The 20,367-nt window shown below is 41.2% G+C and overlaps 1 protein-coding gene and 1 pseudogene across 2 annotated transcripts in view; both read left to right on the forward strand.

Moving 5' to 3' along the window:
- The window catches only part of ALKBH3 (alkB homolog 3, alpha-ketoglutarate dependent dioxygenase), a 39,444-nt gene continuing 19,078 nt past the window's right edge, over window positions 2-20,367 (forward strand). Inside the window, exons 1-7 of the mRNA NM_139178.4 lie at window positions 2-350; window positions 1,754-1,902; window positions 2,256-2,359; window positions 3,154-3,188; window positions 5,777-5,824; window positions 8,896-8,999; window positions 11,212-11,300. Of these exons, the coding sequence (NP_631917.1) occupies window positions 1,824-1,902; window positions 2,256-2,359; window positions 3,154-3,188; window positions 5,777-5,824; window positions 8,896-8,999; window positions 11,212-11,300 (459 nt within the window). The 5' untranslated portion in view covers window positions 2-350; window positions 1,754-1,823. The remainder of the gene's footprint in view (window positions 351-1,753; window positions 1,903-2,255; window positions 2,360-3,153; window positions 3,189-5,776; window positions 5,825-8,895; window positions 9,000-11,211; window positions 11,301-20,367) is intronic.
- SEC14L1P1 (SEC14 like 1 pseudogene 1) lies at window positions 16,474-19,059 on the forward strand (annotated as a pseudogene). Its single transcript, NR_026952.1, has one exon. The product of NR_026952.1 is annotated as an SEC14 like 1 pseudogene 1 (transcript).

Genomic DNA, 20,367 nt, shown 5'->3' on the forward strand with positions numbered 1-20,367 from the left:
CACTCTTAAGGTTCCGATCACAGACTGCGGAGTGGGTCAGGGGCTGCGAGGGCTGCCCCAAGTCCTACCGGGTTTGCACGGGCGCGCCCGGCTCCGCCCGCAAGTGCGCCTTCCTGACTTACTGCTGGGTGCGCGGGGCTGGGGGTGCGAGTACCACCCCTGAAGTCTCTTCCTGGGCGACCTCCGGGGCCTCATTCTAGGCCTCCTTAAAGAGAAGGATCTAAATTAGGAAAAGGAAGTGCCCTTATCCACGACCAAGCTCTTCCACCTGCGGAGCTCGCTTAGTCTGCACCTCAACCGTGCGGAAAGTGACTGCCCTGTTTACTGAGGAAAAACTGGGGCTCAGAAAGGTGAAGTCATTTGCCATGGGCCATGCAGCTGGGAAGTGACAGATCTGGATTCAAAGCGAGTTCTGGCTGGCGCCAGAGTCCTTGTATTTTACAGCACTGGTTCTCAAGCTTTATGTGCATTAAGAATTCCTGGGTTGAGGGTGGCGTTAGTTAACAAATTCTGGGACTCTACAAATTGAGTAGATCTGGGATGGGGCTCTGGAATCTATTTTCAACAATTGTTCCCTGGCAAATAACATATGGCTCCCCAGTGAATGGAGCAAGAAGGTGAGCAAGTCGTATCCTCTGCGGGGACTGTAGGTAATTGTGTTACGCTTTTAGGGCCTCAATTGAGAGAACATGTCAAACGGGAGCTCCTGGGATTGGAGAATTGGTATTTGATTGTCATTAACTCTTCTGGGCAGATGGCAGCCTCTGCGTCTCTCCACCTATTAAATGAAATGAATTACATGCTTATCATCTGGGGGAACTTGTTAAACACACAGATTCCTGGGCCTGGCTCAGCTCTACTGAATCAGAAGAGGTGGGAGATGGGACCTGGGAATCTATAGTCTAAGCAAGCTATTAATATAAAACGAGCTTTTACCTTTGAGAACTTGAGGTGTGAAGCTTTCTTAGGTAGAAGCATAAAGAAATAGATTACAGATGTGGAACATGTGGCTTGAATTTCCTTGTTGTTTTGGTAGCTGTACGTGCTTCTGCATTTGCTGTAGGCTAAGCTTTTACTGGTACAACTGTCAAATTAGTATTATTAGCCATTATGAGGTGGATTTATCCGTTAGCTGGAGACAGGAGTTTAATATAAGTTGAATGTTAATCTGTCTGTTGTTGATTTCCTGAGTGGCTTTGGGTGCATCATTGAACTTTACCGTCCACATACATACCTGCATTGTGTCAAATCTTACACTGCTTGTTATAAAGACAAATACCTGTATCCATCCTAAATCAGATTTTCTGAAGGTGGGCCATAGGTATTTTGAACAAACTTCCAGGGAAGTTTGATGCAGCCAGTGATAATGGAATATATGCTTGGAAACAGTCTTAGCCGATTTCTCAATGTCCATGTAGGTGAAAATGGGAATAGTACAGTTTCCTTATATTCTACTCTTGGGGACTATTAAGAGGAATGTGGTTTATAATAGGTCCTAATTTTAGAATTTCTTAAAATGCACTTTCTTGTGAAAGAAACAAAAGTACTATGGTAAGATTACAAAAGGTGAATGCTAAAGCCAGCAGCCCCAAATGACTAGGCTTCTTGAATGAAATGTTGTGATGACATAAACTGATTTTACATGGAAGCTCTATTGCCATTGAGAGTCTTCTGCCTGAAATTAATTATGCCTTAGGAGTAATTGTTCACAATCCTAACTAAAAGCACTGTTTTGTTTTGTTTTAATAAACAGATACCATGGAGTAGTTTGAAACAGGAACAAAATCTTCTGAAAGCTCGGAGCAGAAGCCTTTTTGGTCAACATGGAGGAAAAAAGACGGCGAGCCCGAGTTCAGGGAGCCTGGGCTGCCCCTGTTAAAAGCCAGGCCATTGCTCAGCCAGGCAAGAATCTGTAGGGATTTTGTGTGTGTGTGGATATGGACAACTCTCATTCTCTTTTATTTATATCCTTTTGGTTTATAATGGACTTCCATTTCAATTGACGTCAAGGAATTGTTTAAAATGTGGCTGATATTTTGTCCGATTTTGTTGATGGTGAGCTAAGGGTGGGTCTTTAATGTTCCTCATATTTAGTCCACACCCTCAAACCTTTCAGTATCTTCTGTTGACTTTACCAGTTAGTTTCTACATGTCATAGAGATCATCTCCAAGTGGGCTTTATTGGCCCTTGCTCAGTAGAAGGTGCTGAGAACAGACTTTCCCCTGGTTTGAGGCTGTCCCCTCTCTTGCTTCAGCTACCACTGCTAAGAGCCATCTCCACCAGAAGCCTGGCCAGACCTGGAAGAACAAAGAGCATCATCTCTCTGACAGAGAGTTTGTGTTCAAAGAACCTCAGCAGGTAAATTCATGGTTTTTTCTTCAATAGTGATAAAAATTTGCTTAGAAAAGTGATATTCACACAGTAGACACTCAAATAAATAATGACTGAATAAATTCACTAATAGCAGAGCAGAAGAACTATAATAATAATGAAATGAGAAATATTTCAGTTCCTTTCTATGTCTGGGGATTCTTCGTAGTCTGCTCCCAGTTTATGGTCACATGTTATTCCCGTATTTTTGGCAAGGAGGTTACACCATAATGAGAGCTTGCTTGCATTGGTTATTTGAGCTCCAGCAGTCCTAAAACTGTGCTGTCTTCAGTGCTATTGCACTTCACCATCTTTGGAATTGGATTAAAATTTCAGTTTTTACAATAAAATGCCTGATTTTTAGCCCTTTTTTCCCATGAGGAAAAATGTAGGAAACAGTGAAGATTTACTTTTTAATAATGTGGAAAAGTTAAAAAGTTGGGTTTCTTGCCATAGTAACAACCCTATAAATAATTATTAAAACTCCTTATTTTATAGCATATTTTCTATTTTAAAAAATCTTGTCAAGATTTTTCCAGAGCTGCTGGCTGCTAGGAAAATTTATTCTATTAATAATTGTATCTTCTTTTACTGTCTACTAGCAAATGTGAAGTAGTTTTAAGAAGAGTGGAGACAAGGGTCTCTAGTGGGTTAGTGAGAAGTTGGAATAGAAAAGAGATAGTTTTTAACTTTATTTTGACCAGAAATGGGAAGATATGGTAAGTCAGTATCCTTGAGGATTAAGAACATCCCAGAAGTAAGATCCGCCTATTTCCTTGCAGGTAGTACGTAGAGCTCCTGAGCCACGAGTGATTGAGTAAGTAATTTGCTGTCTTCCTGTAATTGTTGCCCACAGTGAAATGAAGAGCCTGGAATCTTTCCTCACTGTTTTTTCTATCTGGAAGAGAATGGCCCAATAAGTGTCTTAACTGTAGTCTGGGATATTCCCATCTCAAATGTCTTTAAACTTGATCTTTTGAGAAGACTTTCTGAATTTGCTGATAGTATTGAAAATGCAACAAGATATCCATATGTTAAACTTTGACTTGTGTAGATTTCCTGGCCCTATTTCACCGATATCTGTAGACAGTAAGCTAAACCTCTCAGGCAAAGACAGAGAGGGATTTTTCCTGAGTCATTGAAGCATGGTTCTTTGAGAAGCCATTAATTGCCTCTTTTTTTTTTTTTTTTTTTTACTAGCAATGCTATGAAAGCTGCTAGTGCTGTAGATGAGCTTACAGTCCATTTATTAAAACCATGTAATTATTCCAGAACAATTTAAATGATAGTAAACATTCTTCTTATATTGATCTGTGTCTAAAATGTTCTTGTCCAAAGTTGGTGAGAGATGCTTTGACTCCTCTTTTTATGCTTGTCAGTTTTCATCTGATGTAGATAAATTGTCAGTAGAAACTATTCTTTTATCTTAGCAAATTAGCATCAGATATATGTTCTTGCCCATGATCAATCTGTTTGTTATGCTGTTTGACTGCTTGCAGATTGGCTTGTATATCTTAGAAAAAGTCGCAGGCTAATAGTCTTTGGTTGTTTATTATTTTTTATTTTTTTGGAACAGGCTGTCACTCTGTCACTCAGGCTGGAGTGCAGTGGCATAATCAAAACTCACTGTAGCCTCCATCTTCTGGGCTCAAGTGATCCTCCCACCTCAGCCTCCCGAGTAGCTGGGACCACAGGCACACACCACCATGCCTTGCTCCTTTTTTAAAAAATTTTTTGTAGAGATGGGATCTCCCTATGTTGCCTGGGCTGGTTTCGAATTCCTGGGCTGAAATGATCCTCCCACCTCAGCCTCCCAAAGTGCTGATATTACAGGGATGAGCTACCATGCCAGGCCTTTGGTTGTTTTAAAAAAACAAGTGTGTTAGTGCCTTCATTGGTGAAGGAGAATAAACAAAACCATGAAACATGTTGTAAGCTACAGATGTGACATTCGGCCCCCCAGAAACAGGCAATTGTCGGAGAAAAATGACAGAACTCATTCCTACTTGGTCCTAGAATCTGTTAATTCTCATTATCTAAAGTTAACTATGCTAGGTTTTAAAAAAATAGCCGGAAATGTCTTCCATATTTAAAGTGAGCCATTTCTGAATGTGGGCCAAAAATACACCATATTGAAACATTTTGTTCTCTGTATACTCAGGGAAACATTATAGACGATGCATGTAGTAAATATGTGTGACAGCTATGCCTGCTATGCCTACATTTTGGCTGAAAGGCACTCATACATCTACTTAAAAGCCTAGCTCAGAGATCATGAACCACTAACTCCCATGACAGAAGGTGATGTGAAAACTGCCCCTTCGTGTTCTCTATAACGTGTCTCTCTCTGAGAAGGATCTGACACAATTGTCTTGATAGATATACCTATCCAGTCTGTGTCACTTTTCTCATTATGGGCCTCACCACCTGGCAGTTCTGCAACAGCTTTATACATTTCCACATTTGATTAAATTTAGTAAACCTTTATTGCCCATCTGCTATGTGCAGACACTGGGAAGCAATAATCTACCTATTCCTTGCACCTCAGGACCCCACAGTCTATAAAATAAAATAGACATTTAATCAGATAAATTGTAATCTTGTACATCATGAAAAAATAGACTGTAAGGTCTAGTGGTAACACAGAGGATGAGAGGTTAATATTATTTGCCTGGATTAAAGGTCAGGAAAAGTTTAAAGGCGGTGATGCTGAAGCTAGGATTTTTGAAAGGTGAATGAGAGTTTTCCACTGGACCAAAGCTGGAGGTGGATTGGATTGGGGATGCCGGGTGATGGGGTGGCATTTCAGCATGGAAAAGCATGGAGTTAGAAACGTAGTGGTGTATTCAGGAGATTCCAAGCAGTTGATTGCTGCTGGAGGATGATGAGTTTATGGGAGCTGTCAGAAGATAGAGCTACATTATGAGGACCTTGAATGCAGTTTTGGGGTGCCATTGAAGGATTTTAATCAGAAGAGGAACCTCATCAGATGTGTATCTCTGAAAGCAACAGAAGCCCAGAGCCCTGAGATGTGCTTGCTGCCTGTTAAATGTATCCCCTATTCCACATTCTCCAGAGGAGTGCTCTATTTGAAACCTCTTTGTGCAATAGATTCCTGGACCATATCTGCCTCAATTATGGGTAAAATATAAAGGAGTAGAATCAGAATTGATTTTATCCCAGTTTTTGTCTCCATGGCCTGATACTGTCACAGTTCCATTCCAGTGCCATTAATGATATACCATGATCTTCTCAGTGGTAGAAGAAGGTGGGGATTATGCCTCTCTCATAACTAAATGACTTTGGTGAGCCAGGACTTTGGCAGTTCAGAAGGATAACTCTTCCACTGGGTATAGCATATTGTTTTGCCTCAAACTAACAAGTCTGTTTCCTTTGTTTCTTTAGCAGAGAGGGTGTGTATGAAATCAGCCTGTCACCCACAGGTGTATCTAGGTAAGCAAATCCTCACAAGAAGTGACCGTAATTATCACTGAGTTATAGTCTCTTAAAATAGTTTACTCCCCTAGAGAAAGAAAATGTAGTACATATACATTATGGAATACTATGCAGCCATTAAAAGGAATGAAAGCATGTCCTTTGCGGGAACATGGATGGAACTAGAGATCTTTATCATCAGCAAACTAACGTGGGAACAGAAAACCAAATACTGCATGTTCTCACTTGTAAGTGGGAGCCGAATGATGAGAACACAGGGACACACAGAAGGGAACAATAGACACTGGGGCTTGTCGGTGGGTGGAGGGTGGGAGGAGGGAGAGGAACAGGAAAAATAACTAATGGGCACTAGACTTAACACCTGGGTGATGAAATAATCTGTATAACAAACCCCTATGACAAAAGCGTACCTATATAACAAACCTGCATATGTACCCCAAACTTAAAGTTTAAAAAAGTCTACTCCCTTATTTCAAATAGGTAACTTCTGCCCCTTAAATTCTTGGGGAGCAAAAATTTGATAATATCTCCTTTTTATTAGTATTTCTAGCATCAAAATATTTTCAGGTATAGTTCCTAACCTTTCTGTCAGATATAGTAGCTGCTATTTCCCAAGTTTTTTAGATGAGGAAATGAGACCTAGGAAGATTGAATATTTTTTTCTTTTTGAGACAGAGTTTTGCTTTTGTTGCCCAGGCTGGAGTGCAATGGTGCTATCTTGGCTCACTGTAACCTCTACCTCCTGGGTTCAAGAGATTCTCCTGCCTCAGCCTCCCAAGTAGCTGGGATTACAGGCATGTGCCACCAAGCCTGGCTACTTTTTTCGTATTTTTAATAGAGATGGGGTTTCATCATGTTGGTCAGGCTGGTCTCGAACTCCTGACCTCAGGTGATCCACCTGCCCCACCTTAGCCTCTCAAAGTGCTGGGATTACAGGTGTGAGCCACCACGTCTGGCCTGAATATTTTTTCTTAGTGCCACATAATAACTTGACATTAGAATTGCGCCTAGCCTGGACTTCTGTGCTGTGAGTGCTACATTATATTATTATACTTCATGTATATTACATATTGTAGATTATTGTGTATAATGTTACAAATTGCTACACTAGGGTAAATTTCTTTTTTTGTTTTTTTTTGTTTTGTGTTTTGAGACAGAGTCTCACTCTGTCACTCAAGCTGGAGTGCAGTGGCGTGATCTCCACTCACTGCAAGCTCCGCCTCCAGGGTTCACGCCATTCTTCTGCCTCAGCCTCCCGAGTAGCTGGGACTACAGGCACGTGCCACCATGCCCAGCTAATTTTTTTTTTTTTTTGTATTTTTAGTAGAGACGAGGTTTCACCGTGTTATTCAGCATGGTCTCGATCTCTTGACCTCGTGATCCACCTGCCTTGGCCTCCCAAAGTGCTGGGATTACAGGCATGAGCCACTGCGCCTGGCAGTCTTTCTGTTTTTGAGACAGGGTCTGGCTCTGTCACCTAGGCTGGGGTGCAGTGGCACGATCTCAGCTCATTGCAACTTCTGCCTCCTGGGCTCAAGCCACCCTCCCACTTCAGCCTCCGAGTAGCTGGGATTACAGGTGTGCGCCACCACACCTGGCTAATTTTGTATTTTTGTTTGTTTGTTTGTTAGTGATGGGGTTTCGCCATGTTGCCCAGGCTGGCCTTGAACTCCTGGGCTCAAGTGATCTGCCCGCCTTGGCCTCCCAAAGTGCTGGGATTACAGGCGTAAGCCACCATACGTGGCCTAGGATAGATTTCAGTAGTTAAAGCATATACTATTTAGGGTATATTAGGCATTAGTCATTGTTTTAAAAACATTTAAAAACATTGAAACATTAACATCGCCTTAATGCATGAGTATACTAATTGTCACTATAAAATAATGAGACATTTAAAACAAATAGAACTTACACATCTAGATGAATTTCTTCAGAGGAGCTTCTGCTGGAACAATGGCTCTGCCATGGTTATAACCTTTTTTGGAACTGTTATTTTAAAGCAAGTCACTCAAGAAAACCAGTTTTATTGTTTTGGTCATATCTCATTGTTAACTAGATACGGCTTCAGGTAAGCTTTGGCTCTTTCACAAAATCAGATGCACCTTCAAAGAGTGAAGATTTGCTACCAAGGCAGTTTAAGAGAATCTTCCGTGGGCTTTCAGAAGGTATCTTAAGAAAGATATCCAAAATTATTTTGAGCTGCGTTGGCATTGTTGAAATAAACACATATTCAGTGGGAGAAAGAACCCTCATTAGCTGTGTTTATTTTGATACAGTCATAATGAGCTGTAGCTTTTCCTAGAATTAGCATAGTCTCAGAAGACTACCAATTGTTTAAATAAAACAGGGCCAGGCATTTTATTAGTTATTCTTTTTTTTTTCTTTTTTCGAGATGGAGTTTTGCTGTTGTAGCCCAGGCTAGAGTGCAATGGTGTCATCTCAGCTCACTGCAACCTCCACCCCCGGGTTCAAGCGATTCTCCTGCCTTAGCCTCCCAAGTAGTTGGAACTACAGGCATGCGCCACCACGCCCAGCTGATTTTGTATTTTTGGTAGACGGGGTTTCACCATGTTGGTCAGGCTGGTCTCGAACTCCTGACCTCAGGTGATCCACCCGCTTGAGCCTCCCAAAGTGCTGGGATTACAGGCTTGAGCCACTGTGCCTGGACTTATTATTCTATTTACTCTTCACAGTGAATCTATGAGGTTGATGTCATCTCAGGTTACAGATGAGAAAACCAAAGTTCAGAGAGGTTCAGTAACTTGCCCAGGGTTTCACAGCTAAGCAGTACTGAAATACTGTTTGAATTATGATCTATAAAAGCCCTCACCTATCATCCCTTTATCCTTCATTGCCTCTTTTATTTGTCCCAACATGAAAGGAGTTTATTTTATATCTGGAGCCTCATGACCTGGGTGATGTTAGGCTCTGCTTGCTGTGGGAGCTGTGGTAAGATGATTTCATGTACCCATTAGAGGCTGCATCCAGATTAACTGTTTCCACTAACATTTAGAGTCTAACTTATCTTTTCCATGTTTTTTGGTTAACAATGTTCATTCTGCACCCAGGGTCTGTTTGTATCCTGGCTTTGTTGACGTGAAAGAAGCTGACTGGATATTGGAACAGCTTTGTCAAGATGTTCCCTGGAAACAGAGGACTGGCATCAGAGAGGGTAAGTAGATCCCAGAGGTCACAGTTGGTGCTGCGTGTTCTCCCTCTCTGGAATGTTTCCTAGTACCATCACTTCTGCTCACCAAAGCTAGTCTTAAACAGAAATTCAAAACCTGAGATCCTAAGAAAGTAGAATTAGCCAAAAAGGACAGGGAAGAGTATTCCAGGCAGGAGAAACAGCAGGTGGAAGGCCCAGAGATCAGAGAGAACATGGCAGGAGGATAGAGGTGAGAGTTCAAGGAACCAAAGGAAATTTGGTTGGCTGAACTATGGCTGACATACTTATCTCCTTTTGTGTTTGTTCACTGACTTGCTTCAAATGGTGCCAACTTTTTCCTTTCTTCATAGAAAATTACAGAGCTTTCTTTTTTTCTTATCCTATTTTGCATACATTCTTTCACACTCCTTGCTGACTTTGTATTCTTCTTTAACTTTTGCCAGAAGAGTCCAGTCTCCTCTAGCTTCAGCATCTGTACTCTCCTGAGCTTGTAAAAGTGACACGGCAGTTTGTTACCTGAGTTGGAACCTGAATCTCTGCGGGCATCCACAAGCCAACAGTGCCTGTTATACCACAGGCGGTCACTTGGGGGCGTCTGTACTCTAGCATCGAATTTTTTTCTGGCACATTGAGTGAATTTAAATTTTCTGTAAAGAGGCAAAGTATATATAGTTGTCCCTCAGTATCCACAGGGGATTGTTCCCTGTGGATACTGAAATTCATGTATGCTCAAATCCTTTCATAAAAACTATCATAGTGGCTGGGCGTGGTGGCTTACGCCTGTAATCCCAGCACTTTGGGAGGCCGAGGCAGGTGGATCATGAGGTCAGGAGATCGAGACCATCCTGGCTAACATGATGAAACCCCATCTCTACTAACAATACAAAAATTAGCCAGGCATGGTGGTGCGCACCTGTAGTCCCAGCTACTCGGGAGGCTGAGGCAGGAGAATTGCTTGAATCCGGGAGGCAGAGGTTGCAGTGAGCCGAGATCGCGCCACTGCACTCCAGCCTGGTAATAGAGTGAGACTCCGTCTCAAAAAAAAATAAAATAACTATCATAGTATGTGCATATAACCTATGCACATCCTCTAGTATCCTTTAAATCATCTCTAGATCACTTATAATACCTAATACGATGTAAGTGCTATGTAAATAGTTGTTATACTGTTTTTTATTGTGGTATTGTTATTTGTAATTTTTATATATTTTTTGAGTATTTTTGATCCATGGTTTGAGTATTTTTGATCCATGGTGGATGTGGAACCCACAGATATGAAAGACCAACTGTACTGGCTTCATTTTTGTTACTCATGCATCAGAATAGGAGTCAGCTTTCTCTCAGCCTTCAGGACAGCCTTCTCTCAACTCCCACAGTTTCTGCAGCAGGGCTTTTGGTGACAGACATGGCTTTGATTGTTGGCTCTTTCATTCAAAGTAGTTGTTAATTTTAAGCAAATTACAGTTAAGTAACTCTCTGATCCCTGGTTTTCTTATCAGTAAAATTAAATTAATAACAATGTCTTTCTTATAAGGTGGTTGTGTTAATACAATGAGATAACGCATGAGATTGCCTGGTACATAGTAAGCCTTCAGTGAGTATTAGCTGCTGCTATTATTATTATTATTATTGTTCTTATTGTTGTGGCTGATACCAGTTATGGGAAAAAGAGTAGATCTATGGATAACTGCTTCTCTAAATTGGAACATCAAAGCCTTCTGATGAAAATCAGCTGCATGCCACAGTTGGTCAGGGCACTTTTTCCTCCCTTGAATCAAAAAGGTTTACACAACATTGCACACATGAATGAGCAGTTTGTCTTGTTTCTCACATGGATGTTGGTGCCACAAATTTCTGCAGACAGGGGTTCAGTCTCCATATTCTGCTTTTTGAGACCGTCCCTAGTCTGAGCCCCACTGTTCCCCAGTGTGACTCTTTGCCCTCTCTTGTTTATGTCATCACTAATACAAGCAAGTCACCCACATTCTCATCTCAGAGCCTTTGCCCATGTGGTGTCTGCCAACATAGTGGTTTCTCTTGTCCATTCTACTTGCAAAGTCCCATATCTTCTGTGAAGGTGGAACTTTGGGTCACAGCCCATTCTTACTTTTCTTTTGTATTTCTCATAGCACATTGCAAGGCACAAAGTTGGCACTCAGTAGTAACACCTTAAATAGCATTAAACCATTTCAAAGGCCTGTATTTTCTTTCTTAGATATAACTTATCAGCAACCAAGACTTACAGCATGGTATGGAGAACTTCCTTACACTTATTCAAGAATCACTATGGAACCAAATCCTCACGTATGTCAACATATTGTCATTGGTATGGTTTTATAGACTATATACTATGTGTTGAGTGCTATAAAATAACAACAAATTACCTTGCAGAGATTCATGCTGGTTCCTAGTTCAAAAAACCTCTCTGGGTTGAAACATTGAGTCTTTGTGCTTGTCATCCTTCATGTGCTAGAGGATGAGAAAAAACTAGAACTAGAGTAAACTGAACCAGAGTCTAGCATTTCAGGAAAATGAACTATTTCTTCTCCTAATATCCCTCTTTCCCAAGCTTTTCTAGCTGTATTCCTTCTGTGTACACCCTGGTATGCATTTGCTGTGGGGCTGAGTCCTTATGACTGACGAGTGAGGTCAATATGCCTTTTTCTGTTTCTCAGGCTCTTTTGCTATTTGTGAAAAAAAATCTGATGTTTTTCTTGTTAACTTTGTATTTATTCTATGGCTGCAGTTCTCAGACTTCCGTCTGATTTTGCTTTGGCTTGTTTCTGCTGCTGCTTTTGCTTTTAAAAAATTTCCATGAAAGTAGATGAAGATATTCTAGTATATAAATTAAGCTCATCCAGGGGATAGAGTTAAGGTCCAAGAAATAGCTCCCTGTTTAGTTCCTGGAATCTTGCCTTTGGCAAATAATGTTATGTTTTATTGAAAGAGACTTTGAAGAAAATGGAGTTTTGCTTATGGCATTGGGATACACAGAAATGTGACACATTTCAGAGCTTCTAGAAATTTGTAATTGCAAGCTACCACTTTACTAAAATTTCAGGGAGAAAACATTGACTGAGGGAACATGGCCTTTTCACGTAAGGAGATAGCTGCATGCTTTGGTTTCAAGGGCTGCATTTAGAATGTGAGCCAGGGAAGTGCCGAGACCCTTTATATCTGAGGTTGATTTTGAAACGTGGAGATAATAGAATTAGGCCAGTCCAACATAGCCTGCTTTCCTTGTTTCTGTCAGAGTTAATTTATCTTCTTGTCAGTAGTCATAGCAGAGAATTTGAGGATTAAATGGGCTGTGGGGAAGTTCTTTCTCATTCATTCTAGTTAATCTTTTAAAACAAGATTTCTCAACCTCAGTAGTATTGCCATTTTGGGCTGGATAATTCTTTCTTGTGGGTCTATCCCTTGCATTGTAGGATGTTTACCAGTATGCATGACCTCCACCTGTTAGATGTCAGTGGCACCCCTCACCCAGCTGTGACAACCAAAACCAACTCAAGACATTGTTAAACATCTGGGGGGGCAAAATTGCCCCTGGTTAAGAACCAGTGGGAATAAACACAGGATCTGCTGAGTAAAGTAGCCTCTTATTGTCCGACATTTTGGGAACATTTTGACAACTCTTCAAAATAATTTATGACAATCCTTTTTTTTAAATGTTGGTAGTATGTGCTTATTGAAAATTTAGAAACTGCACATAAACAGGAAGAATATTAAAATTCTTGATAATTCTACCCCATGTTTTGGTTCCAATCTTGTTATTTTAGACAAATATACCTAGAGAATCTTTTTTTCTGTAACAATAAAATAGTCCAGGTGTGGTGGCTCATGTCTATAATCCCAACACTTTGGGAGGTCAAGGTGGAAGGATTGCTTGAGGCCAGGAGTTCATAACCAGCCTGGACAACATAATGTGGTCAAATTAGAATTCTTTAATTCAGATTTGGCTGGCTCATAACTTTGCCTTTATTGGTGATATATTTAGTTCATTTATATACTGTCTTGAACAAAAAAGAGCTACCCTTTCTCAGATTTTTATTTATGTTCATTTTAAATTTAGATATAGGGTCTTGTTATGTTGCCCAGGCTGGTGTTGAACACCTGGGCTCAAGTGCTCCTCCTGCCTCAGCTTCCTTTAATAGTTGTGATTATCGGCCACACCCCGACCTCTCAGAATTTTTTAAAGGTGGATTCACTAATGTATGTATATATATGTTGGGAGTACTTGTTTAGTTTAAAAATTGTCATTACCTGAAGCTTAATATCCCGTACAAAATAAGCAATTTCAGTCATGGGTTTTTAAACTTGTTTTAGTTTTTGTTCAAACTAAATCTCACATGAGCCCAGTGTATAAAACAGATCAGAGCCTTGACTGGCTGGGAGTCCCACCAACTTGACCTCTCCTTTCTTCTCCTGTAGACCCAGAGGTACCTCTGAGGTACCTAGAACTCTATACAACACTGTTTGAAATCCACTGAATAGGTCCTTTCACTTCTGTGATTCATATTTTTTGTATTCTTTTCCTAAAATGTCTTTTAAGGATAAAATGTCTTCACTGAACAGTGAGATAATGCTGAATTTTAATTTAGACATTCAGTTCTGAGGCATCTGAATATAGAGTATTGGTTGGAGAGTCTAAATTAATCCTCTAGTTCATTATCCCCTTTTTTCTTCCTTTTCTCACTGTTTCAGTACCAAAAATAACCCAGAAAAAAAATACCTACTTAGAAACATAACACAAACTTTATGCTATCTCAGTATTCAGTCCCTGAGCAAGTCAGGGAAGTGCTAATTAGATTCCCAGTAACATTGGAGAAAAAAGCCCATCTTCCTCCTTTACATTCTTGTTTTTCTTGTTAAGCGTGTAATTCTAGCATCTGATCTTTATCGCTATGAAGATAAATTTAAAGCTGTAAAGTAAATAGGAAATACAGCCTGCTGACATTATTATTGGAATTTCACTTTGGAATTTATTCTCTTGAACAAAGGTTTATTTAATATTTTTGTTTTATGAGTGTGGATCTCATGTTATGTGTTTTTCTACCACAATAAAAAAGGAGAACAAGAGATAAAGAAACTTCCAACTTCTGGAGGCTTCTTGAGTCTCCCCAGGTGTCCCATTAGCCAACTATTTGTTGTTTTTGCTGTTTATTTTTTAAAATCCTCTGCTTAGAATATAATATTATAATGTAGTATCCACAACAAGGAATTCCATCTTTAACCATGGTTTTCACATCAGAGTAAAGCTGAGTGATTATGTAAGCTTCCCTGGCAGTTTTACCTGACAACCATGGGATATACTTAATAATAGTAACAATAATATTCCTTCCTTTGCTGAACGTCTGTTTCTTCACTGCGAAACATATAACATGATATGGTTTGGCTGTGTCCCCACGCAAGTCTCACCTTGAATTGTAATAATCCCCGTGTATCAAGGGCAGGGCCAGGTGGAGATAATTGAATCATGGGGGCATTTTCCCCCTTACTGTTCTCATGGTAGTGAATAAGTCTCATGAGATCTGATGGTTTTATAAATGGGAGTTCCCTGCACATGCGCTCTTGCCTGCTGCCATGTAAGATGTGACTTTGCTCCTCCTTTGTCTTCTGCCTTGATTGTGAGGCCTCCGCAGCTATGTGGAACTGTCAGTCCATTGAACCTCTTTTTGTTGGTAAATTACCCAGTCTTGGGTATGTCTTTATTAGCAGCATGAGAACAGACTAATGCAATAGACATTCAAGGAGTTCCCTAAAGTAACAGTTCTTAGAGTATAATCTGTAGATCCCTGGAGAGGGTTCATGAAACCTTTTTTGGGAATCTACAAGTAAAACTATTTTCATAATAATACTAAGTCTGTATGGTATTTTCACTGTGTTGGGTTTGCACTGATGGTAATGGTGGATAAAGCTGCCAGCACCTTAGCATGAATCAAGCCATTGTCACCAAACTCTGCTAGTAGTCATTGTGTTCGTCATCATCATGCGCTTCCAGTGTAAACTTTAAAAAATGCCAGTTTCATTTAAGAATGTCTATTGATGAAGTAGTAAACATTATTCATTTTATTAAATCTTGGTCTTTGAGTATGTGTCTTCCCAATAGTCTTCTTAATGAAATTAAAAGTGTACCTAAAGTACTCCAGCTACAAACTAAAGTGTGATTGTTTGAGCTGTAAGCTGAACTAGCTACTTTTGTTGTGGATTGTTTTTGCTTAAAATACAACGGGCAGACCGACTGTGGTTATTCAAACTTGAGTATTTGGCAGACATTTCCTCATAAATGAGTGACGTGAATGTCACTTCAAGGAAAACAATGGACAAGATTTTTTTTACTAATGATAAAAGTTAGGTTTTCAAGCAAAAATTAGAATTTTAGAAAACTGGTATCTGCCACTATTAGGGTTCTCTAGAGGGACAGAACTAATAGGATAGATACACACACACACACACACACACACACACACACGTATATATATAAAGGGGAGTTTATTAAGTATTAATTACACAATCACAAGATCCCACAATAGGCTGTCTGCAAGCCGAGGAGCAAGGAGAGCCAGTCTGAGTCCCAAAACTGAAGAACTTGGAGTCCGATGTTTGAGGGCAGGAAGCACCCAGCACGGGAGAACGACGTAGGCTGGGAGGCTAGACAAGTCTCTCCTTTTCACATTTTTCTGCCTGCTTTATATTCACTGGCAGCTGATTAGATTGTGCTCACCAGATTAAGGGTGGGTCTGCCTTCCCTAGCCCACTGACTCAAATGTTAATCTCTTTTTGCAACACCCTCACAGACACACCCAGGATCAATACTTTGTATCCTTCAATCCAATCAAGTTGACATTCAGTATTAACCATCACAGTCACTTTGAGCCTGACTTCTTCCCATTATTTAGGCTTTTCTGCTGAGATCAGTGGTAATATTGTTGGATGAGAATTTTTTTTGTTATTTTATAATGAAATGTGTCAGCATTTAGAAGATCTGTGTAACTTAGTGAACTAATATTTTCCAGATGACCAGTGGTTGATGTTACAAAACCATACAAGGTTAAAGATTTATTCAAAGTGTAGGCTGGACCAATGGCTTTATTATTTTTTTTTATTTAAAGCATTTTTTTTTTAGAGACACAGGGTCTTGCTCTGTTGCCCAGGCTAGAGTGAGCACAGTGGCTCAATCCTAGATCACTGCAGCCTTGAACTCCTGGGCTCAAGCGATCCTCCTGCCTCAGCCTCCTAAGTAGCTGGGACAACAAACGTGCCACTGTGCCTGGCTTATTTTTTATAGAGAGGGGTCTCAGTTTATTGCCCTGGCTGACAGTGGCTTTATATATAAAATAATATGAAAAGTTTGACATGGTTTCAGATTCCATATTGCAACTAACCTTTAAGAAGTCAGCACCTGTTAGTGGAACCGCGACTGCTCCGCAGAGCTGCTGGTATGAGCGCCCGTCGCCACCCCACATCCCAGGCCCAGCCATTCTGACAAGAACTAGACTTTGGGCTCCTTGAGAATATTCAGTTTTGTAAGTTTTAATATCCTCTCACCATATTCAGCTTAAAATACCATACTTAATGATTATCCTTGGCAAGACAGGTGTGAAAGGATTGCTGTTGTATTACAATCATGGTGCAAAAATACCAGTCACCAGTGAGGGTATACAAATACCCCTTCAAATTAATTATGGCTGCCTATGAAAGGAGGTTCCCTACGTGTCCTTTGATTCCGACATTCATGGGCAGTGACACTGTGAATGAATTCAAGAGTGAAGATGGGGCTGTTCATGTCATTGAAAGGCGCTGCAAGCTGGATGTAGATGCACCAAGACTGCTGAAGAAGATTGCAGGAGTTGATTACGTTTATTTTGTCCAGAAGAACTCACTGAATTCTCGGGAACGTACTTTGCACATTGAGGGTCATAATGAAACATTTTCCAATTGCTATACCGTTCACCCTGAAAATGAAGATTGGACCCGTTTTGAACAGTCTGCAAGTTTAGATATTAAATCTTTCTTTGGTTTTGAAAGTACCATGGAAAAAATTGCAATGAAACAATATACCAGCAATATTAAAAAAAGGAAAGAAAATTATTGAATACTACCTTCGCCATTTAGAAGGAGGCATAACCTTTGTGCCCCATTGGACTCCACCTTCCATCACGCCCTCTTCAGAGACATCTTCGTCATCCTGCAAGAAACAAGCAGCGTCCATGGCTGTTGTCATCCCAGATGCTGTCCTCAAGGAGGGGCTGAGTGGCGATGCCCTCAGCAGCCCCAGTGCACCTGAGCCCGTGGTGGGCATCCCTGATAACAAACTAGATGCTGACTACATCAAGAGATACCTGGGCGATTTGACTCCGCTGCAGGAGAGCTGTCTCATTAGACTTCACGGGTGGCTCCAGGAGACCCACAAGGGTGAAATTCCAAAAGATGAGCATATTCTTCAGTTCCTATGTGCATGGGATTTTAATATTGACAAAGCCAGAGAGATCATTTGTCAATCTTTGGCGTGGAGGAAGCAGCACCAGGTAGACTACATTCTTGCTACCTGGGCCGTTCCACAGGTCCTTCAGAATTACTACACGGGAGGCTGGCATCATCACGACAAAGATGGGTGGCCCCTCTGTATGCTCAGGCTGGGGCAGATGGACACCAACGGCTTGGTGAGAGCACTCGGGGAGGAAGCCCTGCTGAGATACGTTCTCTCCATAAATGAAGAAGAGCTAAGGCGATGTGAAGAGAATACAAAAGTCTTTGTTTGGCCTATCAGCTCATGGACCTGCCTGGCGGACTTGGAAGGGGTGAACATGCGCCACTTATGGAGACCTGATGTCAAAGTGCTGCGGTGGATCATCGAGGTGGTGAAGGCCAGTTACCCTAAGAGACTGGGCCGACTTCTCATCCTGCGGTCACCCAGGGTATTTCCTGTGCTCTGGACGCTGGTTAGTCCATTTATTGATGACAACACCAGAAGGAAATTCCTCATTTATGCAGGAAATGACTACCAGGGTCCTGGAGGCCTGCTGGATTACATTGATAGATTATTTCAGATTTCCTGAGTGGAGAGTGCATGTGCAAAGTGCCAGAGGGTGGACTGGTCCCCAAATCTCTCTACTGGACCATGGAGGAGCTGGAGAATGAAGACCTCAAGCTCTGGACTGAGACCATCTACCACTCTGCAAGCATCTTCAAAGGAGCCCCACACAAGATTCTCATTCAGATTGTGGATGCCTCTTCAGTCACCACTTGGAATTTTGACATGTACAAAGGGGACATTGTCTTTAACATCTATCACTCCAAGAGGTCGCCACAGCCACCCAAAAAGGACTCCCTAGGGGCCCCACCTCTCCAGGTGGGAACAATGTGCAGCTCATAGACAAAGTCTGGCAGTGGGGCCGTGACTACAGCATGGTGGAATTGCCTCTGATCTGCAAAGGAGAAGGCGTGCAGGGCTCGCATGTGACCACGTGGCCGGGCCTCTGCATCCTGCAGTGGAAATTCCACAGCATGCCCGTGTGCACCATCAGCAGCCTGCCCCAGGTGGATGATGTGCTCGCGTCCCTGCAGATCTCTTCGCACAACTGTAAAGTGATGTACTACGCCAAAGTGATAGGCTCCGAGGATTTCAGAGGTTCCATGACGAGCCTGGAGTCCAGCCACAGTGGCTTCTCCCAGTTGAGTGCACCACCACCTTCTCCAGCCAGTCTCACTCCAGCTCCATGATTTCCAGCTAGTGCCGCACCACCTGCACCTAGTGTGCAGAGGAGATGGCCGCCCCTCCTCGGACAGCCAGCTCCACCCTCCCGCCGAGCAGAGACATTGTATGGACTCCTCTCACCTCTAGAGAGCAAATAGCTCTCCAGATGGTAAACATAGTCATTTCATCCCAAAACTATCTTGGCAGGTAGTTTTAACTCTGATCCTACCTTAACTCAACAGCCATAGATTTTGTATATGTTGTGCACAAAATCAAACCAGAGCACAAGGGCTCTCTTGAAATAAAAGTAGTTTCTATACCAATTAAAAGATTGACGTGGTCTCAGGAAAAAAAAAAAAAAAAAGGAAACCAGTACTTGTTGAGTTTTGGTATAATATCAAAGAAGAATATCTACAGTTATTTGAAAAGGCTGTAAACTACATACCTATGTGAAGCCAATTTCCTTCATATACTTCAATAAAAACAACCTATTTTAACAGATTGAATGCAGAAACAAATATGAGAATCAGCTCTCTTCTATTAATTTAGATATTAAAAATTTGCAAAACAGTGTCACCCTTCTCATCAATTATTCAATTATTTGTGTTGGAAATTATAGTTATTTTTCATTAAAATGTTGATGTTAACATGTAATGGATTTGTGATTGCATTTTTTTTATTTTAATTTAATTTTTTTTTTTTTTTTTTTTTTTTTTGCGACAGAGTCTCGCTCTGTTACCCAGGCTGGAGTGCAGTGGCACAGTCTCAGCTCACTGCAGCCTCCGCCTCCCGGGTTCAAGTGATTCTTCTGCCTCAGCCTCCCGAGTAGCTGGGACTACAGGCGCATGCCACCATGCCCAGCTGATTTTTGTATTTTTAGTAGAGACAGGGTTTCACCATATTGGCCAGGCTGGTCTTGAACTCCCGACCTCGTGATCCACCCGCCTCGGCCTCCCAAAGTACTGGGATTACAGGTGTGAGCCATGTTGCCTGGCCTGTCCTTGCATTTTAAATGAATTAACCAGTAGTTGAAAATTTTTTTAGTTTTAATTTTAAATATCATAAAAACTGACGGCTGTAACCCATATAAACAAAAGTTCTTTGGGCTCCTCAATAATTTCTCATGTAAAATTTGAGAACCACTGTTCTAAAGGAAGCTTTGTAAAGTACTCGAGATTTCTGGGAGAAAAGCATTCTAGCAAGAACCAATATAAGCTATGTTGTTTGTAGCTCCCAAGTACAATCTAAGGTCAGGGGTCATAGCTTCCTGTAATATACATGGCAAGACAGTTCCAAATATGAATTACATCAGTGAACCCAGTGCCCAGGAGGCAGGGCCGTGGAACCTGTTTAAGTCTTCTGTAGTTGATGGCTCATATACTTGTCAAGAGCATATCATGATTCTCATTCTTTAGAAAAGAATGTTTTTACTCTTTAGGTTATGTTTTTTGGAAGTTAGCCACTCTGGAAATATTAAAGATCATTTTTAAAAAGCACTTCTCCCCATCAGGATAAAATAGGAATAGAACGAACAGAGGGCCACCCAGCAGGAAAGTTGTTTCACTCTTCAGGCTTCAGTCTGGGTCTGCTGACTACCTAGTGACATATCGGCTTTGCTGCTCCACTTACCACCTTAATGACTTACCAAGGTCACTGCCCTGAAGATACTGA

The sequence above is a fragment of the Homo sapiens genome, chromosome 11 (genome assembly GCF_000001405.40).
Source record: "Homo sapiens chromosome 11, GRCh38.p14 Primary Assembly".
In the NCBI taxonomy this organism is placed as follows: domain Eukaryota; kingdom Metazoa; phylum Chordata; class Mammalia; order Primates; family Hominidae; genus Homo; species Homo sapiens.